The sequence below is a fragment of the Homo sapiens genome, chromosome 16 (genome assembly GCF_000001405.40).
Source record: "Homo sapiens chromosome 16, GRCh38.p14 Primary Assembly".
NCBI lineage: Eukaryota > Metazoa > Chordata > Mammalia > Primates > Hominidae > Homo > Homo sapiens.
Window position 1 is genome coordinate 74,329,016 of NC_000016.10, and position 25,966 is coordinate 74,354,981.

General features: G+C 46.9%; 1 pseudogene across 1 annotated transcript in view; it reads right to left on the reverse strand.

Moving 5' to 3' along the window:
- Window positions 1–3,390: 3,390 nt before the first annotated feature.
- Window positions 3,391–25,966, reverse strand: part of PDPR2P (pyruvate dehydrogenase phosphatase regulatory subunit 2, pseudogene) — a 35,850-nt pseudogene continuing 13,274 nt past the window's right edge. The window contains exons 3-15 of the transcript NR_026950.1: window positions 24,762–24,895; window positions 23,282–23,363; window positions 23,025–23,188; window positions 21,602–21,723; window positions 19,852–20,000; window positions 15,764–15,956; window positions 13,115–13,239; window positions 9,724–9,879; window positions 9,430–9,563; window positions 8,460–8,608; window positions 7,579–7,691; window positions 5,877–5,971; window positions 3,391–3,641 (exon numbers count right to left, since the gene is read on the reverse strand). The product of NR_026950.1 is annotated as a pyruvate dehydrogenase phosphatase regulatory subunit 2, pseudogene (transcript). The remainder of the gene's footprint in view (window positions 3,642–5,876; window positions 5,972–7,578; window positions 7,692–8,459; window positions 8,609–9,429; window positions 9,564–9,723; window positions 9,880–13,114; window positions 13,240–15,763; window positions 15,957–19,851; window positions 20,001–21,601; window positions 21,724–23,024; window positions 23,189–23,281; window positions 23,364–24,761; window positions 24,896–25,966) is intronic.

Here is a 25,966-nt window from a genome sequence, read left to right on the forward strand (position 1 = left end):
AAGCGATCCTCCCACCTTGGCCTCCCAGTGTTGGGATTACAGGCGTGAACCACCATGCCAGTCTGGGTCAAGTATTTTATATTCATTACTTGAGTTTCATAACAACCCTATAAAGTAGGCATCACTGTCCATTTTAAAACAAGTAAACAGAGGCCTAGGAAAGGTAACCACCCAAGGTCGTATACACCAAGGAAGAGGCAATGCTGGCATTCAGACCCAGGCCAGTAAACCCAAAGCCCCATGCCCTTGACCCACCACAACAATCTGGGATTCTGAGGGGCTTGAGTCAGGTGACACCCCAGATCTAAGCATCTGAAGGTCCCTAACTGTGGAGCCTTTCATGAGAACAAGCCACTGGAGGGTAAGCACACGTCGCTCTTCTCAAGGGAGGGTGTACTAAAGGAGCCTCATCTCACTCCCCCTGTGCCATGGAGGCCACACCAGGTGAGCACCCTTGGGAGGGAGACGCATAGCCTGACTGGGGTGCTAATGGGTCCCCGGCACTGGGTTCTCCACATGAACAGTTGTGTGAATCCAGGAGGCTCAGATCACGTGCCACAGCGCCACCTACTGGCCTGTGAACAACAACAGCATCCTGTTGTAAAGTCGGCAAACAATCATTTAAAAATTTTCAGGCCAGGCGCGGTGGCTCACGCCTGTAATCCCAGCACTTTGGGAGGCTGAGGTGGGCAGATCATAAGGTCAGGAGATCGAGACCATCCTGGCCAACATGGTGAAACCCCGTATCTACTAAAAATACAAAAAATTAGCTGGGCGTGGTGGCGTGTGCCTGTAATCCCAGCTACTCGGGAGGCTGAGGTGGGAGAATCCCTTGAACCAGGGAGTCAGAGGTTGCAGTGAGCCGAGATCACGCCACTACACTCCAGCCTGGCGACAAAGCAAGACTCTATCTCAAAAAGAAAAAAAAAATCAAACATTTAAAATCCTTAAATCTTTTTTTCTTTTTGAGACAGAGTTTCACTCTTGTTGCCCAGGCTGGAGTGCAATGGCATGATCTCGGCTCACTGCAACCTCCACCTCCCGAGTTCAAGCGATTGTCCTGCCTCAGCCTCCCTCGAAGCTGGGATTATAGGCATGCGCTATCACGCCTAATTTTGTATTTTTAGTAGAGACAAGGTTTCTCCATGTTGGTCAGGCTGGTCTCAAATTCCCAACCTCAGGTGATCCACCTGCCTCGGCATTCCAAAGTGCTGGGATTACAGGTGTGAGCCACCGCACCTGGCCTAAAATCCTTAAATCTTAAAAGACATTTTAAAGATTTTGCCCTCCACTTTTTGCCCATTCATTTAATCACCTGTTAAACACCAAACACCACGTGAGGTGTTGGAGTTTGGGAGAATTCGAGTCTTTCTCAGAGGGACTTACAGAACGAGCAGGGCAGATAACCAAATAAAGACACATCAGAAACGGGTGTGTGAGAACCCCAAAGGGGCCATTCTCTTGGGGAAGGAAAGGCTCCACTGTGGGATGATGGTGGTCTTGGGCTGAGCTTTTGAAACACAGGAGGGGCCAGGCGCCGTGGCTCACGCCTGTAATCCCAGCACTTTGGGAGGCTGAGGTGGGTGGATCACCTGAGGTCAGGAGTTCGAGACCAGCCTGACCAATGACCACCATAGTGAAACCTCGTCTCTACTAAAAATACAAAATTAGCCAGGCACGGTGGCGCATGCCTGTTATCCCAGCTACTCAGGAGGCTGAGGCAGAATTGCTTGAACCTGGGAGGCGGAGGTTGTGGTGAGCCGAGATCTTGCCACTGCACTCCAGCAGCCTAAGCAAGAAGAACGAAACTCCGTCTCAATCAATCAATCAAATGAAAGACAGGAGGTCTCTGTCAGGACAACTTGGGGGAGTGGGGGTTCATGTGATCCTCAATTCGCGACTTTCCACAAGCACAGGGGAGGGCTGCCAGGATGCATTTTAGTGAGCAAATATGGGAGTGGGAAACCTCAGTGTGACTGGAAAGCAGGATTCGAGGTGAGATCCAGCTGTGGATGGGGAGCACGCACTCGGCTGCAGGACCCACATCACACGCAGTGCAGGCCGCAGCCCTGGGGCAGCGTGGCCTGCCACACCCTGGAGACCCTGGCTGGCCAGGCTATGGACTGAGAGCTTGGTCTCACGACAAAGGGGAGTCCCTTGAGGGTTTCAAGGCAGTGAGTAAAGTGACCTCCCGTTTTAAAAAGACAACCCTGCAGAGGGAGGGGGGATGACATGAGAAGCAGGAAAATCAGTAAGAGATTGTTCTCGAAGTCAGGGCTGACAACCCTCTCTGCCACAGCAGCAGTGGTGGGGACAGTGAGGTCCGAACAGAGGAGAGGCACTGAGGAGACAGCCCTGTGAGGCTGGGTAATGAGCGGGAGGTGGAGGGAGAGGTGAGTGGGGAGACCAGGTGAGTCCCAGGTTTCTGGCGTGGTTGACTATTCCTGGAACTGGAATAGAAGGGGCTGATTTAGAAGACAAGATGAAGAGATTGTTGTAAACATGTTAACCTATGAGATTCTCAAAAGTACAAATACTTAAAAAAAAAAAAAAAAACTACTCAAAAATTACCTGGGGCCAGGCACAGTGGCTCATGCCTGTAATCCCAGCACTTTGGGAGGCTGAGGTGTGTGGACCACTTGAGGTCAGGAGTTGGAGACAAGCGTGGACAACATGGTGAAGCCCCATCTGTACTAAAAATACAAAAATTAGCCAGGTGTGGTGGCGTGCACCTGTAATCCCAGCTACTTGGGAGGCTGAAGCAGGACAATCACTTGAACCTGGGAGGCGAAGGTTGCAGTGAACTGAGATTATGCCACTACACTCCACCCTAGGTGACAGAGTGAGACTCTGTCTCAATTAAAAAAAAAATTGTGAAGTGAAAAAAAAAACAGGATGAAGAATAGCAGTATGCTTCCATTTCTGTTTTTAAAAAGGGGGCTTGGCTGGGTATGGTGGCTCACACCTATAATCCCAGCACTTTGGGAGGACAAGGTGGGTGTATCACCTGAGGTCAGGAGTTTGAGACCAGCCTGAGCGACATGGCAAAACCTGTCTCTACAAAAAAATACAAAAATTAGCCAGGCATGGTGGCACATGCCTACAGTCCCAGCTACTCGGGAGGCGGAGGTGGGAGGGTGGCTTGAGCCCAAGAGGTCGAGGCTGCAGTGAGCCACGGTCATGCCACTGCACTCCACCCTGGGCAAAAGAGTGAGACCCTGTCTCAAAAAAAAAAAATTCATTATGAATTTGCTTGCAATATGCATACAAATCTGAAATGACATATAAAAGTAATACTAATATTATTGGTGACAGTTGGTGAGAACAGATGAGATGGTGCCAAATACTTTTTAAATGTATCACCTATTCAAAAAAACTCATATAACTTAGTTAAAAATGGTCAAATCTCTTCAATGCAGCCTACCTCAGTTCCCAAGGCCCAATCAGATACAGCTCTCCAAACCTGCCAGTGCTGGTGAACGCGCTGCTGGGAGCACTGGCACCCCACAGTGGGGGAGGGGAGGGGAGGGGAGGGGAGGGGGCCCTCTCACCTCTATGGGGATGTAGAGCATGAATCCTGGCTCTCCTGTGTGCGTCATGCTCATCACCCGGATCCCATTTGCATAGCCCACGCTCATCTCCTGCAGGGACAAAGGCAGCAGTCAGCCTGGGCACTCACATTGCTTGTCAAGGGAGGGACGCCTGGGGAAACCTTTCATTAGTGCTGCACCCTCTGTTTACTGTTGAGGGAGACAGACGTCAAGGCAAGAATTTCATCCCAAAAGTGGTTAACTTCCAGGTCCTGAGGCACCGAGAATGGAGCACTGCCTATGTGACATCTCTGCTTGCTACTGTTACCATCTCAGGAGTTTTAGCCAAGCTGATGGTAGAGAGTGGAGGAAAGTCCTTGACAAGCACAAAATATTCCTCTTTGCCAGGTCCTTATGTTAGTCGAGGGTAGCAGGCACAATGAGGACAAGGCGAGTGTCTTCTCTGGGGGAATCGGCAGACAAACCCTGGCCACCTGCCATACAAAAGATGATGCCCGATGCCCACAGACATAATTAATCTGCTATCCTGGGGTCAAAGATGGGCTTCTGATTCTCAGAACATGTTACATAGCAGCTCAGTTCCCTAACAGCGGCCACTGACGCAATCACTGTTCCTATAAAGGAAAGTGGAAAGTCCTGGACAGCACCGAAGTGAACCGCTTCCACAGGAGGCTGACAGGATGCAGCACTCGCCAGGTGTTGAGCGTATGGGTCACTCCTCCAAGCAGCAGAGCAAACGCTGGGAGGGGTCCACTGATGGCTAACAGTGGAAAGTTTTCTGTTGCTTTCACTTTGCCTCGGAGAAGAAGGAAAACTGTGAAACAATTTGTAGGTGGATCCCACTTTGGGTGAACTTCAAAGAGTCTCCATCAGTAACCGCCTGGAAGTTGCTCGTTACAGGTGGCCAAGATGTCTGTCCGTTTGGCCCTCTCTAATCAGCAGCTTCCTGGGGAGGATTCCGTTGTCATTGCTTTCATTCGGTTACAGTTTGTTTCACTCAGCTGTGGTTGCCACTTATAGGAAAGAAAATTATGTAGGAAGTTCAGAGATTCACCTACGCCATTTCTTCCCTGAAGATGCCACAGACACAGAAGTTACTCTGTGTACAGAAAAGAGGCCACACTGCATGGAGAGAAGGGACCTAACTTCGAAAGGCATTTTTGTGTGTCATAATCCTGTAACTTCAAATTTTAATCCAGTGCTACAGAAACCAAAAAGCATAAAGACTTTACATTTAGAGAAGCTAAATCCACTTCAAAGATATCCTAATGCTTATTAAATAAAGCAAGCTTGGAGTGTAAAAAATAAACAAATAAGGCCGGGCGCAGTGGCTCACACCTGTAATCCCAGCACTTTGGGAGGCTGAGGTGGGTGGTTCACCTGAGGTCAGGAGTTCAAGACCAGCCTGGCAAACATGGTGAAACCCTGTCTCTACTAAAAATACAAAAAGTTAGCTGGGCATGGTGGCGGGCGCTTGTAATCCCAGCTACTCGGGAGGCTGAAACAGGAGAATCGCCTGAACCCGGGAAGTGGAGGTTGCAGTGAGCCGAGATCGCACCATTGCACGCCAGCCTGTGCAACAAGAGTGAAACTCTGTCTCAAAATAAATAAATAAATAAATAAATAAATAAATATACTTAGTCACTTCTTTGCTAATGAAGGGCAGCACATTTTTTTTTTTTTTTTTTTGAGACAGTCTTGCTCTGTTGCCAGCCTGGAGTGCAATGGCGCAATCTCGGCTCACTGCAACATCTGCCTCCCAGGTTCAAGTCATTCTCCTGCCTCAGCCTCCCGAGTAGCTGGGACCACAGGCATGCGCCACCACACCCGGCTAATTTTTGTATTTTTATATTTATTTATAAATATAAGATGTAATCCCAAAGTGCTGGGATTATAGGCGTGAGCCACTGCACCTGGCCAGCACACTCTTTTATTTGAGACAGAGTCTCACTCTGTCACCCAGGTGGAGTGCAGTGGCGTGTTCTCGGCTCACTGCGACCTCTGCCTCCAGAGTTCAAGCGATTCCTGTGCCTCAGCCTCCCAAGTAGCTGGGATTATAGGTGCGTGAGACCATACCCAGCTAATTTTTGTATTTTTAACAGAGACAGGGTCTCACCATGTTGGCCAGGCTGGTCTCAAACTCCTGACTTTGGGTGATCCACCTGCCTCGGCCTCCCAAAGTGCTAGGATTACAGGCATGTGCCACCTCACCCAGCCAAGACACTCTTTGTGGATGTTAACACCATAGTAAGAATATGTAACTGCCACCGCTATGAAAGACACATTCTCTGCCCATTTAAGAAACAGAACTTTATCAGCACTCACCTTGCAAAAGAGGCTTGGGAAGTGGTCTGGAGTCATAGGGGCATAGGACAACTCAGACAGCACATCCACAGCTCGAGGGCCAATCAGATTGAGGGCTAAATGGAAAAGAACAAGAGATGTCCAGCTCTCCTTCTGAACAGCTGAGCCAATGGGAAAGGTCTACTGCAGACTTGCTCAGCTATAGCCAGGCCTGGGTGCAGAGACCAGGAATATGTCCCTTTGCTTAGACACTCCAAGGATGGATGCTAAGCACCCCGATTCTGGCGAATACACCTCTGCCAACAGGGCCTGCTGAACGCAGCAGGGCTGGCCATAACCACCCCACACAATTCCCGTTCTCCTCCTTTTCCCAGCAAGGCTATGTGATGGAAGAAGCCCCAACCCCAAATCAGTACCCGGTGGAGATCTGCCCAACCAAAAAGTATACAGACTTTAAATTCAGAGAAGCTAAATCCACTTCAAACATATCCTAATGCTTACTAGATAAGGAAAGCATTATTCTGGACACCAGTGTTTGTGACATCAGCTTGTGCTAATTACATGTCATCCATCCTAAGAGAAGCGAGAACATGACTTTTGTTCAGTAACATTCTGTAGTATCCCAATCCAGGAGCAGGACGTATATCATATTTGCTACTACAAGGAATTGAGAATGAGAGCCTGGGAGAGCAAACGCTGGTGGGGCCAAGGGGCAAGATCAGTTAGGTGGGAAGGTGGGAGGGGTTAAGCCAAGACTGCTGAGGTTGAGAAAATCAGGGAACCAAGTCATCCTTAAAAATTAGGTACTCACGGGGGCTGGGCGTGGTGGCTCATGCCTGTAATCCCAGCACTTTGGGAGGCCGAAGCAGGTGGATCATGAGGTCAAGAGTTCAAGACCAGCCTGGCCAACATGGTGAAACCCCATCTCTACTAAAAATACAGAAATTAGCCCAGCGTGGTGGCGGCCGCCTGTAATCCCAGCTACTTGGTAGGCTGAAGCAGAAGAATCGCTTGAACCCGGGAGGTGGAGGTGCAATGGCATGATCTTGGCTCATTGCAACCTCTGCCTCCCAGATTCAAGCAATTCTCCTGCTTCAGCCTCATGAGTAGCTGGGACTACAGGCATGCACCACCATGTCCAGCTAATTTTTTTATTTTTAGTAGAGATGGGGTTTCACCATGTTGGCCAGGCTGGTCTCGAACTCCTGACCTCATGATCCGCCCGCCTCAGCCTCCCAAAGTGCTGGGATTACAGGTGTAAGCCACTGTGTCCAGCCCTCAATTTTCTTTGCTTTTTTTTTTTGAGATGGAGTCTCACTCGCCTAGGCTGGAGTGCAGTGGTGCGATCTGGGCTCACTGCAACCTCTGCCTCCCGGGTCCAAGTGATTCTCCTGCCTTAGCCTCCCAAGTAGCTGGGATTACAGGCGTGTGCCATCACGCCCAGCTAATTTTTGTATTTCTAGTAGAGACGGGGTTTCACCATATAGTCCAGGTTGGTCTCGAACTCCTGACCTAGTAGTGATCCTCCCACCTCGGCCTCCAAAAGTGCTGGGATTACAGGCGTCAGCCACCGCATCCCCTAGAGATCAATTTTCTATGACCAGAGAGCCTCTTTTATGCTAACTCTAATGTTCATTTTTGAGAGTCAAATGTAAAGAAGGCAAACGTGGACACATCTGCATCTGCTGGCCTTTTCGACGTGGCAGAGCCCGAACCCCCGTACCTGTGTACTTCCAGGTGACGTCCTCCAGGAGCAGGTTGCTGTCTTTCGGCATGTGTTTCTTAAGCCAGGCCCAACAGTGGACCTGCTGGTCGGTTGGAGAGATCATGAAGAAACTGAAAAGTGAGACCCCAAAATAATCAAAACCAGGTAGCAGCAAAAGGATCAGGAAGCAATCAAATCTTATTTGGTTTCAAAGCAATGAGGCAAATACTAGGAAATGATTTCTTAGCTTTCACAGAAGGCCAGTAGCACCATTCTAGGATACACCACCTAACAACAAAACAAAATTCTGGCTTCCTGTTAATGCCAAGAAATTATACAGATTTACTAACGTTAAGACATCGGCTGGGCACAGTGGCTCACGCCTGTAATCCCAGCACTTTGGAGGCCAAGGTGGGCAGATTGCTTGAGCTCAGGTGTTCAAGATCAGCCTGGGCAATGTGACAAAACCCTATCTCTACAAAATATACAAAAACTGGCTGGGTGTGGTGGCGTGTACCTGTGGTCCCAGCTACCTGGAAAGCTGAGGTGGGAGGATCACTTGAGCCCAGGAGGTCGAGGCTGCAGGGATCCATGATTGCATCACTGCACTCCAGCCTGGGTAACAAAGTGAGACCCTGTCTCAGAAAAAAAAAAAAAAAAAAAAAAAAAGACAAGGCATCTTCTCCCAGTAGGGTACATAATCTGGTGGGCTTTTTTTTCTTTTCCTCCTGGTGATTTCTTTTGTTTAGGACTGCTAATAAACTGGCTTTGATTTCATGTAATGATTCTTAGTCCCTGGGATTTATGGTTCGTGGAGAAGCGCCTGAGAGCCTCTGCTACAGTACCCCTAAGGAATCAACATGTTGGAGGAAGCAGAGCGGGACGGCAGCTCATCTCACCTGCGCTTGTTCAGTCGTGCTATGCTGCAGTCATTTTCATACCCTCCACCCTCGTTGAGCATGCCAGTATGCACAATGTGGCCCACAGGCACATCCAGGTCATTGGAGAAGAGGTACTGTAGAACTTCTAATGCCTGATCCCCAGTGGTCTGCAGGGTTAGGGAATGAAACAGAGAGAGTGAGAGTGAGAGCACCTGGCTGCGCCACATGGCCCCACCAGCAATGAACCTCATTGAGAAAATTCAATCAGCCAATTCCCATGTGACAACACTTGCAGACCTACTCCACTGCAAGAAGCTCCAGGGAATGCTAGCTATTGATTCTTATGATAAACAGGCCTCTCTAGCAAATTAAAAACCCGAAACAAGGAGCTAAAATTTCAGAAAAATGTCACAATACAGATGAAACACTAAAATATACCAGAATTCTTAAGAAATCAGTGTTTTGTTTTTGTTTTTGTTTTTTTTTTGAGATGGAGTCTCACTCTGTTGCCCAGGCTGAGTGCAGTGGCGCAATCTCAGCTCACTGCAACCTCCACCTCATGAGTTCATGCGATTCTCCTGCCTCCCGAGTAGCTGGGATTACAAGTGCCCGCCACCATGCCTGGTTAATTTTTTGTATTTTTGGTAGAGATGGTTTCGCCATGTTGGCCAGGCTGGTCTTGAACTCCTGATCTCAGGTGATCTACCCGTCTCGGCCTCCCAAACTGCTGGGATTACAGGCATGAGCCACCACTCCTGGCCTTAATTTTTGTATTTTTAGTAGAAACGGGGTTTTACCATCTTGGCCAGGCTGGTCTGGAACTCCTGACTTCAGGTGATCCACGCCCCCCTTGGCCTCCCAAAGTGCTGGGAATACAGGCATGACCCACTGCACCCAGTCAGGAATCAGTTTTGAAGATGAAAAACAAAAGGCATTCAATAAATATGCAAAGTTTCCTAATCTATTACTTTGGTTCCCAAATACTTACTGTTATCTCAAACTCTGTGAAAGAGGACATGTCAATGACACACACAGCTTCCTTACAGCACTTGACTTCAGACTCCACGATGTCAAACCAATCTGGCTTATAGAAAGTCTTGCTCTGCTCCAATGCCAGGAGGTCTACGGAATGGAAAAATCACAAGGCCCTGTAGAGTTTAGTGTAGTCCACGTGGTTCTTTTTCTTCTGTGAACACATTCTAGCCTATGCATTTGAAAATACGTTTTATTAATTCCCAGGACAAAAAAAAAAAGGAGCAAAAATGAGAATGTGACTTCTTACCCTTGTCAGGGGGAACAAAGTACTTTGGCCTCTCAAATCCATGTTTCTCCATCCACCTGGCTCCCTGTGCATCCAGCCGGTCGTAGAGAGGAGAGGTGCGTAACTGCCTACCGGTCTGGAAGTCCCAGTGGGGAACCTTCAGATCATACATCAAAGCTAGAAAAGACACGAGTAGTCTATCAAAGCCCAAGACACAGATTCTAGACCTGAGTAGCCAATATCCACTAGACTCTGGAGTTGTTTCTATTCAAAAGAGCTTTCCAGGCTAACGTAGTTTGTTTTTTTTTTTTTTTAAGACGGAGTTTTGCTCTTGTTGTCCAGGCTGGAGTGCAGTGGCACAATCTTGGCTTACTGCAACCTCCGCCTCCTGGGTTTAAGCGATTCTCCTGCCTCAGCTTCCCGAGTAGCTGGGATTACAGGCACGTGCCACCGTGCCACACTGATTTTTGTATTTTTAGTAGAGACAGGGTTTCTCCATGTTGGTCAGGCTGGTCTCAAACTCCTGACCTCAGGTGATCTGCCCGCCCCGGCCTCCCGAAGTGCTGGGATTACAGGCGTGAGCCACTCTGCTCGGCCCAATTTCCAGGCTAATGTAGTCTAATTTTCAAAATTACCCAGTGTATCAGGCATGCTCCAGAAGGAAAGACAATCCTGCCAAGCTGCTATCGTCCCTCCCTGGAGCTACGTGTCACGGCATGACTCGGCCTGTATTCACATTCAGCATTCCACATTAGTAGGTAGAAATGATGGCAGAAAGGTCAGGGTCCTAAACCTTACTAAGCTTCATAGCAGAGAACAAGGTTACTAAGTGGGACACAGGTGGTAACAAAATGTGAAAAAATGGCATTCGATTCTTCATTGTGCCTGTGTTAGGATCTCAGACCTGTTACAGACATTTCCTCCCTGATAATTAACTCACTTCTGAAGTGAAAGGGTACATATTGTAGCTTGATTAGGTGGCTCTGAAATCTGAGAAGTTACATTGTATTGTACCAATGACATTATTCACACAACAAAGCTAGGGTCAGAATTCATTTCTCTTAGGCTGGGTGTGGTGGCTCACGTCTGTAAACCCAGCACTTTGAGAGGTCAAGGTGGGCGGATCACGAGGTCAGGAGTTCGAGATCAGCCTGACCAATGTGGTGAAACCCTGTCTCTACTAAAAATACATAAATTAGCCAGGCATGGTGGCAGGCACCTGTAATCCCAGCTACACGGGAGGCTGAGGCAGGAGAATTGCTTGAACCCAGGAGGCAGAGGTTGCAGTGAGCCGAAATCACGCCACGGCACTCCAGCCTGGGCAATAGAGCAAGACTATCTCGGAAAAAAAAAAAAATTTCATTTCCCTTAATGTCTAATCTTCAACAGCAATAAGTAAAAAAAGCCAGAAGAGTGGGATCTGTGGTCCCTTGCAAAGAGAAGACCTGATCTCACACCGTCCCAAACAAAAGGCACATCAAGGCTTGGGGAGGTTGGGAGACAGGAGAAGGAAGCCAGGTGGGGTTCTCTGCATGGTGACAATCTCTCCATCTCCTGGTACTTTAGGTTCTATCTTCCCCTTCCCCATTTTCTTTTCTATTTTTTTTTTTTATTTTTTGTTGAGATGGAATCCCTCTCTATCACCCAGGCTAGAGCGCAGTGGTGCGATCTTGGCTCACTGCAACCTCCGTCTCCCGGGTTCAAGTGATTGTCCTGCCTCAGCCTGCCAAGGAGCTGGGATCACAGGCACATACCACCACGTGGCTAAATTTTTGTATTTTTAGTAGAGACAGGGTTTCGCCATGTTGGTCAGGCCAGACCTCCTGACCTCAAGTGATCCGCCTGCCTCAGCCTCCCAACATGCTGGGATTACAGGCTTGAGCCACTGCGCCTGGCGCCTTCCCCATTTTCTATGTGCCTGCCACTTCTATTTCATGAGAATTGGCTACCAAAAGTGTCATATCACCAAGCAGAAGCTCAAGCTCAATTATGATTTGTACAGGTTCCAAAGTAACTATGGGTGGGGAAATTTAGGCTTATAATAGTTCAACTTTAAAACAAAAAACTTTGATTTTTTTATTTTATTTTTTTGAGACAGGGTCTCAGTCCCACTGCCCAGGCTGGAGTACACAGTGGCACCATCATGGCTCACTGCAGCCTCAACTTCCCCAGCTCAGGTGATTCGCCTACCTCAGCCTCCCAAGTAGCTGGGACTTCAGGTGTGTGCCACTAAGGCATGGCTAATTTTTTGGTTTTGGTTTTAGTAGAGACAGGGTTTCGCTACGTTGCCTAGGCTGGTCTCAAACTCCTGACCTCAAGTGACCTACCTCCCTCAGCGTCCCAAAGTGCTGGGATTACAGACATGAGCCAGCACACCCAGCCAAGTTCAACATTTTAACCAAAATATTTGCTAAAATTAAAGAACCTTAGCAGTTAAACATATTGCTGTTAGGTCCTTCATCTCCATGGATGTACATCCTCTTCCCAGGCCAAAAGTGAGCACTCAGGCATTAAAGGCCATCCAGAGTCCTCACCAACAATGTTGTTCAACTACCAAACTAACAGTTTACTTGTAACCAAGAATGGTGGTCAGAGCCAACACAGAAACTTAGTCCTGAGCATAAGTATGCCCAAAATATTTAGATACCATTTGGCAAAGTCTGAGAACAGCTCCTCAGTACAGGAAAATGAAATTACAACTTGAACCCACGTGGTTTGGTTCAATTCCTGATACAAAAGCTTTCTAAGGGCTTCCTAGAAAATAAATCAGAGATCAAGGTAGAATAACAAATTAAGATGAAGTGGCCAGTCCTTCAAAGTTGAAGCAGGGCGAGAACACGGGAGTGAGAGCAGGAATGTATGTTTTGTATTTATATGGGAAGTGGCTCCCAATCTTGCTGCTGTAGGGTGGATTAATGGTGAAAGTCACTCACGGAAGCCTGAAGCTCTGAGAATAACTTGGCAAATTCTCTGACTTGGAAAGAAAAAACTAAGTGGGGAGTGAGAAAGCATTTTCTCAAAAACTAAGTGGGAGTGAGAAAGCATTCACTTCGACACAGGGTCTCTCAAGGCAGACTGCAGAAAGCACGCACTTCGACATACGGTCTCTCAAGGCAGACCGGGAAGAAGGCATTGCTTAGAATATTTATGAAGCTGCTATGTACCAACTGTAACTCCTATTCTACTTTCTTGTTCCCAGAAGGAAAAAAGGTCCGATGCACTAAAGAAAATGTTACATATATATCATGAGGAGCATAAAGCCCCTTAACTCAGGCCTGAAACAGTCAAATCAAATGTCCAACTCAAAGCACTTGTTAAAGAACTGAGGAAAACTTTGCTCCTTCTGAATGACAACACGGGCCACCGAGAAGATACCTGCAACTAGGAGCAACTGCGATAAAGCTTCACTTACGCATGACTTCCATGACCCGGTGGCGCAGAAAGGTGCGGCTGCTCTGGAGGGCTCCAAAACGTTTCAGGTCCAATTCCCAAACGTTTTCTGAGGGATAACCATGTACCATCCATTCGGCAAGGTACCTATATAGACAGAGGGCACTTGTTGGGGCTCAGGTGTGAGATTTGAGAAAATTAATATTCTACAAATCGAGAACTAACAGAATCAAAAGATCCTAAATTGCCATAGACCAGCTGAATAGTTTTGGGCACTTTCCTTAACTTTTCTGGAAGCAACGAACATGGGTCTGTGTACTGCTCTCAAAAGACTACTATGAGGATTTTACCCCAGATGATAAGATTCCCTAGGAGGCATTTAACATAGAAGCCAGCCAGACACATTGGCTGATGCCTGTAATCCCAGAACTTTGGGAGGCTGAGGCAGGGGATTGCTTGAAGTCAGGAGTTTGAGACCAGCCTGGACAACAAAGTAAGACCCCGTCTCTACCAAAAAAAGAAAAGTTTCAAAGTGAGCCAGGTGGCTCACACCTGTAATCCCAGCACTTTGGGAGGCTGAGGCATACGGATCACCTGAGGTCAGGAGTTCGAAACAAGCCTGACCAATGTGGAGAAACCCTGTCTCTATTAAAAATACAAAATTAGCCAGTGTGGTGGCACACGCCTGTAATCCCAGCTACTACGGAGGCTGAGGAAGGAGAACTGCTTGAACCTGGGAGGCAGAGGTTGCAGTAAGCCTAGATCACGCCATTGCACTCCAGCCAGGGCAACAAGAGCGAAACTCCATCTCAAAAAACAAAAACAAACAAACAACAACAAAAAAAAAAATTAGCCGGCGTGGTGGCACATGCCTGTAATCCCAGCTACTCGGGAGGCTGAGGCAGGAGAATCACTTGAACCCGGGAGGCAGAGGTTGCGGTGAGCCGAGATTGTGCCATTGCACTCCAGCCTGGGCAACAAGAGCAAAACTTCGTTTCAAAAAAAAAAAAAAAAAAAGAGCTGGGTATGGTGGCACATGCCTGTAGTTAGTTCTAACTCTTCTGGAGTCTGATGCGGGATGATCCCTTGAGCCCAGGAACTTGCGGCTGCAGTGAGCTATGATGGTGCCACTGCACTCCAGCCTGGGTGAGAGTAAGATCTTGTTTCAAAAAAAGTTATAAGCCTCATCTATGAAGAAATAAGACTAAAACACATATAAATATACTCTAAATATCCAATGGGTTTTTTTCTCTCACCTCAAGATTATACAGTTATGTGACCCCATCTCCTTTGCTCCAAACATTTTTGTAACTCCTCTTCTGTAATTGTTTTTAGAGCCATTCTACAAATCACTCAAGAGAACTGGTCTCATAAATTTAAAATAAGCTTTTCATCGTGGCTACCATCTTACCCATTTGTAAGTATTCAGTTCAGTGGCAGTGGGTACATTCACACTGCGGTGTAACCTTCACTACCATCCATCCTAGAACTCTTTTCCTCTTGCATTTGTGGAACTCTGTGCTCATTCAAGAATAGCTCCCCTCCCCCGCCTCTGGCAAACACCATTGTACTTTCTGTCTCTATGATCTGACAACTCTAGCAACTTCATATAAGTGGAACCACACAGTATTTGTCCTTTTGTGACTGGCTTATTTAATGTTCATTAGTGTCTTATTTTATTTTATTATTATTATTTTTATTGAGATAGAGTCTCGCTCTGTCGCCCAGGCTGGAGTGCAGTGGCGCAATCTCGGCTCACTGCAACCTCTGCCTCCCGGGTTCACGCCATTCTCCTGTCTCAACCTCCCAAGTAGCTGGGACCACAGGCGCCCGCCACAACGGCCGGCTAATTTTGTTCTTGTATTTTTAGTAGAGACGCGGTTTCACTGTGTTAGCCAGAGTGGTCTCGATCTCGTGACCTTGTGATCCGCCCACCTAGGCCTCCCAAAGTGCTGGGATTACAAGCGTGAGCCACCGCGCCCGGCCTAGTGTCTAATTTTTAAACAAAAACTTGTGGCCGGGCACGGTGGCTCATGCCTGTAATCCTAGCACTTTGGGAGGCCAAGGTGGGTGGATCACTTGAAGTCAGGAGTTCAAGACCAGCCTGGCTAACATGGTGAAACCCTGTCTCTACTAAAAATAGAAAAATTAGCCAGGTGTGCTGGCACACGCCTCTAATCCCAGCTACTCGGGAGGCTGAGGTAGGAGAACAGCCTGAACCCAGGAGGTGGAGGTTACAGTGAGCTGAGATCATGTCACTGCATTCCAGCCTGGGTGACAGAGCAAGACTGTCTAAAAAAACAAACAAAACGTGTATTACCTAGTTCAAATACCTACCTCAATCAACACACTTGGCTACCAAACTCAAATACACACTCAAATGACCAATATTTGTTACAATTGAAAAAATATAAAAGAATATCCCACAGGATCTGTGGCTAACTCCAAAAGATGAGTTGCAAAAACATTTTGCCTGATGACATTTCTGGAACATGGGGAGCCTCTCATACTTAGAAGGGGACAACTCCAAAATTACATGTATCTTCTTATTAGTCTTAACATACTAGATTAAATATACCACACGCCATGTTAATAACAAGTAATTCTAGAAGGGAAGAGACCCAGCAAGTTGACTTATGTTCACAGCTGACTTTGAGTGAGAAAGACTTACTTTCCGGCTCCTCCACCAAATGAAAGGCCAGCAGAGTTCATTCCTGCCAGGACAAAGTAGCCCTACACTGCAGGAGACTCGCCCATGATGCACCTCATGTCTGATGCGAAGGTCTCTGGGCAGTTCACCAACTTCATGATCTCCAGAGTCTCTAATTCTGGCATCCTCCTCAGAAGGGAACTCAACAGAGGCTCTGAGCAATGACAACAAAACCAAATAGAGTTCTCACCTTTAAGGAATTAAACCACTTTCAACCCCTCTACTTTTTTACACTCTCCCCTTTCAGAAAACCTCTTGAATTTTTTTTTTTTTTTTTTGAGATGGAGTCTCACTCTGTTGCCCCGGCTGGAGTGCGGTGGCACGATCTCAACTCTCTGCAAACTCTGCCTCCCAGGTTCAAGCGATCCTCTCGCCTCAGCCTGCCAATTAGCTCAGATTACAGGCGTGCACCACCACGCCAGCTAATTTTTTGTATTTTTAGTAGAGATGGGGTTTCACCATGATGGCCACACTAGTTTCGAACTCTTGACCTCAAGTGATCTGCCTGCCTTGGCCTCCCAAAGTGCTAGGATTATAGGTGTGAACCACTGCGCCCGGCTGGAAGAGATTTTTTTAAAGACAAGCCAACTGGGCCATTTATTACAAAGCAGAAACCTTGGTAGAATTACAGGATATAGCTGCAAAATACTTGGTATAAAGACTGAGGAAAAAAGATATTGGTTAGAAAGGAAAGCAGCAGAGAACAGCAAGTAAAACGTATCTACAGATAATAATCTTGAAGGGACCAGTGTGAGTGGACAAGCTCTTAAATGGCGGCCACAGAGATTTTAATAAAAGGTGATGTTCTGAGCTGGGCATGGTGGCTTGCGTCTGTAACCCCAGCACTTTGGGAGGCCAAGGTGGGCGGATCACCTGAGGTCAGGAGTTCAAGAGCATTATGGCCAAAATGGTGAAGCCTCGCCTCTACTAAAAATACAAAAATTAGCCAGTCATGATGGTGGAAGCCTGTAATCCCAGCTACTCGGGAAGCTGAGGCAGAAAAATCACTTGAATCTGAGAGGTGGAGGTTGAAGTGAGCAGAGATCGTGACACTGCACTCCAGCCTGGGCAATAGAGTGAAACTCCATCTCAGGAAAAAAAAAAAAAAGGCAATGTTCTGCATTGGAATAGCTGCAAAAGACAGACCCTGCTTTAAAGGAAATCTACCATCAGGGCATAATCCAGTGGACAGCAGAAAAAGATGAAACCAGACCAGAGCTGGATAATGGGTACATGGGGGCTCATCACACTACTCTCGCCAGGTTTGTTTAGTAGACACATAGTCTCCAGTCTCGCCATGTTGCCCAGGCTGGTCTTCACTTCCTGGGCTCCAGTGATCCTCCCATCTTGGCCTCCCAAAATGATGGAATTACAGGTGTAAGCCACTGTGCCCAGCTTCTATCCAGTTTTAAAAGTTTGAAATTTTCCATAAGAATTTATTAAAAAACGAAAGCCCATCAAGGGTCAGAGGGAAATTCTTCATTAGAGACTCTTTCACCTTTTTAAACTTGGAACTAGGTAACTACATTATTATTATTATTATTCTTTTTGAGATGGAGTCTCGCTCTGTCACCCAGGCTGGAGTGCAGTGGTGCGATCTCAGCCCACTGCAGCCTCTGCCTCCCGGGTTCCAGCAATTCTCCTGCCTCAGCCTCCCAGGTAGCTGGCATTACAGGTGCGCGCCACCACATCCAGCTAATTTTTATATTTTTAGTAGAGACGGGTTTTTGCCATGTTGGCCAGGCTGGTCTTGAACTCCTGACCACAGGCGATCCGCCCGCCTTGGCTTCCCAAAGTGCTGGGATTACAGGCCTTAAAGGCCAGGTGCAGTGGCTCATGCCTGTAATCCCAGCACTTTGGGAGGCCGAGGCAGGTGGATCGCTTGAGGTCAGGAGTTCAAGACCAGCCTGGCCAAATAGTGAAACCCCATCTCTACTAAAAACACAAAAATTGGCTCTGCGTTGTGGTGGGCGCCTGTAATTCCAGCTACCTGGGAGGCTGAGGCAGGAGAATTGCTTGAATCCAGGAGGTGGAGGATGCAGTGAGCTAAGATCGCACCACTGCACTCCAGCCTGGGCAACAGAGCAAGACTCCATCTCAAAATGAATGAATGGATACATAAATAAACAAATAAAATTATTTTAAAATTTAATAAAATACTACACTAACAAAACAATTCTGAAAAACAAAACAAAACAATTCTGTTTTCTAAAGAACTCCTCAATTTTATATGAAGTCCTACTGAAAGAAGTCTCCTCCTAAAACCTAAAATCTGAGCAATAATTTTAGGTGAATAAAGAATAAGCAGGGGCCGGGCGTGGTGGCTCATGTCTGTAATCCCAGCACTTTAGGAGGCCGAGGCGGGCAGATCTCCTGAGGTCAGGAGTTCGAGACCAGCCTGACCAACATGGAGAAACCCTGTCTCTACTAAAAATACAAAATTAGCCAGGCGTGGTGGCGCATGTCTGTAATCCCAGCTACTCAGGAGGCTGAGGCAGGAGAATCACTTGAACCCAGGAGGCAGAGGTTGCGGTGAGCCGAGATCGCACCATTGCACTCGAGCCTGGGCAACAAGAGTGAAACTCCATCTCAGAAAAAAAAAAACACACAAAAAAAGAAGCAGAGCTGGGCACAGTGGCTCACACCTTTACTCCCAGCACTTTGGGAGACCAAGGCAGGCAGATCACTTGAGGCCAGGATTTCAAGACCAGCCTGGCCAACGTGGTAAAACCCTGTCTCTACTAAAAATACATAAACTAGCTGGACATGTTGGTGCACGACTGTAATCCCAGCTACTCAGGAGGCTGAGGCATGAGAATCACTTGAACCTAGGAGGTGGAGGTTGGAGTGAGCCGAGATTGTGCCACTGCACTCCAGTCTGGGCGACAGAGCAAGACTCTTATCTCAAAAAAAAAAAAAAAAAAAGGCCAGACGCAGTGGCTCATGCTTGTAATCCCAGCACTTTGGGAGGCTGAGGGAGGTGGATCACCTGAGGTCAGGAGTTCAAGACCAGCCTGATCAACATGGTGAAACCCTGTCTCTACTAAAAATACAAAAATTAGTCAGGAGTGGTGGCAGGCGCTTGTAATCCCACCTACCACCTACTCTGGAGGCTGAGGCAGGAGAATCACTTGAACCGGGGAGTCAGAGGTTGCAGTGAGCCGAGATCACACCACTGCACTCCAGCCTGGGCAACAGAGCGAGACTTCATCTCAAAAAAAAAAAAAAAAAAAAAGCAGCTGGGTATCATGGCTCATGCCCGTAATCACAGCACTTTGGGAAGCTGAGGCAGGAGGACTGACTGAGCCCAAGAGTTCGAGACCAGCCTGGGCAACACAGTGAGACCCCATCTCAACAAAAAATTTAAACATTAGCTAGGCATGGTGGCAAGCACCTGTAGTCCCAGCTACTTGGGAGGCTGATGTTGCAGGATCACTTGAGCTCACGAATTTGAGGCTACAGTGAGCTATGATCATGCCACTGCACTCCAGCCTAGGTGACAGGGCAAGACGCCATCTTACACACACACAAAATGATAGAGATGACTAAACACACACACACAAAGGGCTAGGCAAAGTGGCTCACGTCTGTAATCTTAGCACTTTGGGAGTCCAAGGTGGAAGGGATCACTTGAGCCTCGGAGTTCGAGATCAACCTGGGCAACATAGCGAGACCATGTCTCTATCAAAAACAAAAAAAAAAAGCTATGAGACCAGGAGTTCGGGGCTGCAGTGAGCTATAATTGTGCAACTGCACTCCAGTCTGAGCACAGAGCAAGGCTCCGTCTCAAGAAATAAAAGAAAAAAGTAAAACTAAGAATAAAATTAAAAAAGAATAAGGCAAATGTCCATTAACTAAGATTTTAGTCCCCTGAATCTGCTACCTAGTAACTCCATCCTCAGACCAGGCAAACTCACCCTCTGTAACCACTGTTGTACCTCATGGCGATGTTATAAACATTAAACAAGGAACTATTCTTCAAAAGACTTTGAAAAATATAACATCTTAAACAAATATAAGGCACTACTGTTATAATGCAGTTCACATACCAAAGTGATCCCAGTCCCCTGTAGATTCTGAATCTCCAGCTGGTTCTTGCCCTCAGTGAAAATTGGTTTTGGGTTCTTCTCAAAGCCCCCAGACAGGATGCCACCCTGCCAGTTCCGAATATAAATTCTTCCATCAGCATCCACAATAGCTGAGGTGGAGAAATGACATGGAGTGGGGAGTGGAAGAAAAAACAAGGGTTTAGAGGCAAGTCAGCTTTCTAAATGGACAGAACAACCAAACAAAAACACCCATTAATGGCTTTATTAATGAAAGAACATTCAATGAACGCAGGCATTCATTAGCTTTAAAATACCTTTTGAGGTCACGGGGGAAGATCCTCCCATTTAGCCTTTCAGTGGAGACTGTTTCTCTGATTATCCCTTACCTAGAAGCTTTGACTAGTCCCCACCACGTAACTCCCACTGTGCCAAGCGAAAGTTTAACGGAAAGGGGGATTGCAGAGCCCATTCTAGGCATGAAGACCGTCAAAAGGATGTGAGAACCCTCTCCTATAGTGCTTGGAACCACGAACCCACCTAAGTCTATCGTTTACCTATGACATTTCTACTATCCATAGTATTCAAGTTAAAAAGTCAACAAGACAGTCCAAATATTCTCAATGACCTCTGTTTAAGACTAAAATTAGCTTGCAAAACAAAAAACAAAAACAAAAAAATGTATTAATGGAAATTTTGGCCATCCTTTCATAAAGAGTTAATAAAGAAAAGTCAGAATTGGGTCCACCTCCCTGTAACATGCTCTAGAAATGAAAGACTCTTTCAGACACAGTCTGTCCTTAGCAGAAAGTTTTCCTTTTCAGAGGACAGGACACTGGCAAAGAAACAAGATTTTTTAAAAAAGTGCAAGTCCTCACTTGGTGTGCTGCTCTGCAGAGGGGTCTCCAAGGGGCGAGTCAGGAGGTAGAAGTGTTCGCAGGCATGTAGCGGGATACTAACCGGCTCCTCGTTGGACAGACCCAGCTCGTATGCCCACTACAAATGGACAGGTTGATTTGTGGGTGGGAAGGGGAACAGAAATAAAAATGAGCAAGTTCAGCCTCTTGAGATTAATTCCAAGTGGCTTATGTGTGCTCTTGCTACAGTGTCAGGTGTGGGAAGTCAGCCTGCTTTAGTTCAATTATTTGGATGGGGAGCAATACTACATTTTTTAAGACATAAAAATTACTTTGAGATCAAAGGAAGAGATATTTACCAGCTAGTCAAAGGAGCTCATGGGAACCAAAGGAGGTCCTTTTGATAAAACGCCTGGGCTCAGCTACAAACCCCAAATAGCAATCACTAAATGAACTTCACGTGGCAAAAGTATTTCTTAGTTCACTTCGGGATCATAGCATGGAAGGCAAGAGCCAATCTGCTTTAAAAGAAGCAGTGTCCCGGAAATTAGTGTCCACATTCCTGACACAATAAAATAGCCTAATATGTTATTTGCTAGGTTGTAGAATGAAATGTAACACCAAGACCCAGCGCCAAGGATTCACGTCAATGCCTGACCATTTGCTGGCCTTCCTGACCAGGATAGCACCCATCAACCCAGTGTGGAGGAAGGACAAGGTCACACAGGCTTCTATTTGCAGACTAAGTGTAGGTTTCTGATTTAGAATACCCTACAAGAAACAGCATAGTTACTGATATCTGTGTAATGAATCACAATACTAACCTTACTTCTCTACACCAAAAAAATCTTGGAGACATACGTTAAATAAGAAAATCAGTGTTGGTGCTGACCTACCTGGCCAGCACAGTTGACAAAATACTGGCATTCAATCTGTCCTTTATCGGTCTCCACTCCAGTAACTTGACCTTTTTTGCCCATTACTTGAAGAACAGATGTCCGGTCATAGATCTGAACACCTGTTCCAAGGTAAAGAAAGAGTTGGTGCTTCATCTGATGTTCCAGAATGAAGGCATGTGCAGCAGGTTCTCCACCCAGAAGAAACACTGACAAAGTCAAGTCAATGCTTTAATTTATTTTTTTATTTTATTTTTGAGACGGAGTCTTGCTTTGTCGCCAAGGGTGGAGGGTAGTGGTGTGATCTTGGCTCGCTCTCTGCCTCCTGGGTTCAAGCAATTCTCCTGCCTCAGCCTCTCAAGTAGCTGGGATTACAGGCATGCACCACCATGTCCTGCTAATTTTTGTATTTTTAATAGAGATGGGGTTTTACCATGCTGGTCAGCCTGGTCTTGAACTCCTGGCCTCAGGTGATCCGCCTGCCTTGGCCTCCCAAAGTGCTGGGATTACAGGCATGAGACACCACGCCCGGCTCAATGCTTTCATTTAAAAAAAAACACAAAACCCTAGAATCACATCCTGAGACTATGTAAATGGGCCTTGTTCGAGATTGAAAATAGCAAGTCAGTTTAAAAACAGACTTTGGAACACAATAATTAAATTCCTGGAATCATAAACTATGGAGCAAAGAGGAGAGGATGTAAATAGTGCGCCTTAAGTGCTAACCTGCTCATACCATGGATATGATACCCTGGACACTAGTTAAGTCTTCCCCTCATTCAATGCAACTGGGCTTATGATTTCAGGTGTGGATTAAACTTCCAAGGTGTGTTTTCACCTTGAGCTTCTCAAGTCCTGTGGGGGAAAATATTACCTTAAGTCCAAAGGGCATTAATTGGCAGGGCACAGTGGCTCACGCCTGTAATCCCAGCACTTAGGGAGGCCGAGGCAGGTGGATCATCTGAGGTCAGGAGTTCAAGACCAGCCTGGCCAATACGGCGAAACCCCGTCTCTACTAAAAATACACAAAAAAATTACCTGGGTGTAGTGGCGCACGCCTGTAGTCCCACCTACTCGGGAGGCTGAAGCAGGAGGATCACATGAACCCAGGAGGCGAACGTTGCAGTGAGCCAAGATTGTGCCACTGCACTCCAGCCTGGGCGAAAAGAGTGAAGCTCCGTCTCCAAAAAACGGGCATTAATTAGCACTAAAAGCAGTTCTTTAGAACTTTAAAAATGTGGCCCTGAGGGAAAACACTCATTAACAGATAAATAAAATTATAAGTGTTCAAAATGGAGGCTGAGTACCCCAAAGAGGATAATCTTTCCAAACTTGAGTTGGTGTCACTTCCTACTGTGAGACACTTCCTTAGGTAATGTCTTCCCTGCTAACCTATCTTAAGAAAATGCAAAAACCTGCTCACCATTTTGGGAGGCAGCACTTGCCAGGGCAAGAGCCACGTCAGCGGAAGACACCACTGCATCCTCAGGAACATGCATGGCCCCCACCAGGTCGTGCACGTTGAGGAGATGGTGAAGCTCGGCCACTTTCTTGGGGGAGATGATCTCAGAAGGGATACCTATAACACTGCCACAGAACACAAGGGACAATGACATTCACAGGCTCTTTGGCAGAGGCCAGTGTGGTAAAGTCAGGACACGCTTCTAGACTCTTACGTACTTCAGCCCTGCGTTGATGCGCTTCAGGGAGATCAGTCGGTCCTGAGTTTGGGCCAGAAAGATTGAGCCTGTCCTTGTGTAACCTGTAAGAAAAATGAGCCCAAATGAGACAGATCAGACCAAATGTAGGACGGGAGAGTGGAAAATCCACTAGATTATAAGTTAGAAGGCCTGTGATGAATCCTGGGACTGCCACTCAATATCCTTGGGCAGGTAAATCAGCTTCTCTGAGCTTCTTTGCAAAATTTTAAGAACTTCAGATGCACTAAGGCTCCATGCCCTGACCAAACATTCTCAGCTCACAGTTTTGTGAAGTTGTGAGGATCAAATGAGATTCTAGGCCAGGTGTAGTGGCTCATGCTTGTAATCGCAGCACTTTGGGAGGCTGAGGGGGGCGGATCATCTGAGGTCAGTAGTTTGAGACCAGCCTGGCCAGCATGGTGAAACCCTGTCTCTACTAAAAATACAAAATTAGCCAGGCACGGTGGTGTGCACATGTAATTCCAGCTACCGGGGAGGCTGAGGCAGGAGAATTGCTTGAACCCAGGAGGTGGAGGTTGCAGTGGGTCAAAATTGCACCACTGCACTCTAGCCTGGGCAACAGAGTGAGACTTCGTCTTTAAAAAAAAGAAAAAAAAAGAAAAAGACAGTTTTGGGCAGGGATTCGACCATCCCTATTCTTCCCACCTTTTAGGCAGTTTCACCCTTTCTCCTCCTAGTCTTGGGGGAGTGTAATCCTTAGCAAAGGCCACTCACAATAACATCAGCTACCAAGGGTCGGATTCTCCCTTCTTCTTCCCCAGTATAGCCAAACAGTGGGCATGCGACCTAAGCTTATCCAATCAGACCCTCCTGGAACAGTCAGTCTTGAGCACGTAGGTGAATGGCTAGAGGTCACCATCTCAAGGGCAGCATCAGCCAGGCCAGGCTGCTCCTGTTCTGGCTGAGGGACTGCCTGCGGTGCAGTCCCCACATCCTGGCTTCCAGGCTGCCTCCAGCTGGCAGCCTCCTGCCAACTCCACAGGCCCAAGCTCCTCCCAACAAGCTCCAAGTTGGCCAGAGTCAATTCCTGTTGTCTGTAATCAACACACCTGATATAGAACCATAATTACACTTGGGCCAATGACAATTCTCCTAAAATACAATGACTCTTAATTCTTATGAAGAAAGAGTTGAAGCAATTTGGTATCTTATTTTCAAAAGAAGTACAGTAAGGATAATTTACATATTTTCTTAATTTCTTAGTAGAGACGGGGTTTCACCATGTTAGCCAGGATGGTCTCGATCTCCTGACCTCGTGATCCGCCTGCCTCGGCCTCCCAAAGTGCTGGGATTACAGGCATGAACCACCATGTTTAAAACCGGCCAACCCAAGTTTTAATTACCAAAGCAGTAGGCACACCTGGCAGAGGACCAAATACAGAAATGAATATAACAATCTCAGGGACAGGCAAAGCAATAAATGGAAGACACTTGCTTACCTGTTCGGATCCCTGTTTCTTGCTCTAACTGATGGTAGAGTTTGTTTGAGTAGTCTGCCATCTTCTGCTCAATGGTCAAGTGCCTGGCAGTGCTCAGGATGCCAGCACAGAACCTGGTAGAGCCAGCAGCCAGCCTGCAGGATGGATGCAAAATGCTATTAGGTAGATTGACGTCATCTGTGAATACGAGGTCAGGGTTTCTCATTTAATACTGTTTCTAATACCAAAAGATGGAAACAAGCTGGGCACAGTGGCTCACACTTATAATCCCAGCACTTGAGGAGGCCAAGGTAGGAGGATTGAGGACTGCTTGAGGACAGGGGTTTATGACCAGCCTGGTCAACACAGGGAGAACCCATCTCTACCAACAACAACAACAAAATTAGCCAGGCATGGTAGCACATGCCTGCAGACCCAGCTACTTGGGAGGCTAAGGCCAGAGGAGCCCTTGAGTTCAAAAGGTAGAGGCTGCAGTGAGCTGTGATCACATCTCTGCACTCCAGCTTGGGCAACAGGGTGAGAAAAATGTTCAATGACATGGGATAGATTTAAAATTTTGTATAGTTTAGGCCAGGCACAGTGGCTCATGCCTGTAATCCCAGCACTTTGACGGGCTGAGGTAGGAGGTTCACTTGAGGCCAGGAGTTCAAGACTGGCCTGGGCAACATAGCCAGACCATGTCTCTACCAAAAAAAAAATAAATAAAAATAAATAAATAAATAAAAATAAAGGCTGAGTGCGGTGGCTTACGCCTGTAATCCCACCACTTTGGGAGGCTGAGATGGGCGGATCACAAGGTCAGGAGATCAAAACCATCTTGGCTAACACAGTGAAACCCCGTCTCTACAAAAAATACAAAAAATTAGTCGGGCATCATGGCGGGCACCTGTACTCCCAGCTACTCGGGAGGCTGAGGAAGGAGAATGGCGTGAACCCGGGAGGCAGAGCTTGCAGTGAGTCAACACTGTGCCACTGCGTTCCGGCCTGGGTGACAGAGCGAGACTCCACCTCAAAAAAAAGTAAAAAAAATAAAGATAAAAGTTAGCCAGGCTACTTGGGAAGCTGAGGCAGGAAGATCCCTTGATCCCAAAAGTTTGCGGCTGCAGTGAGCTACCATTGTGCCACTGCACTTCAGACTAAGCAATAGAGCAAGACCCCATCTCTAAAATAAAATAAAATTTTGGAATTCATCTATACAATGGAAT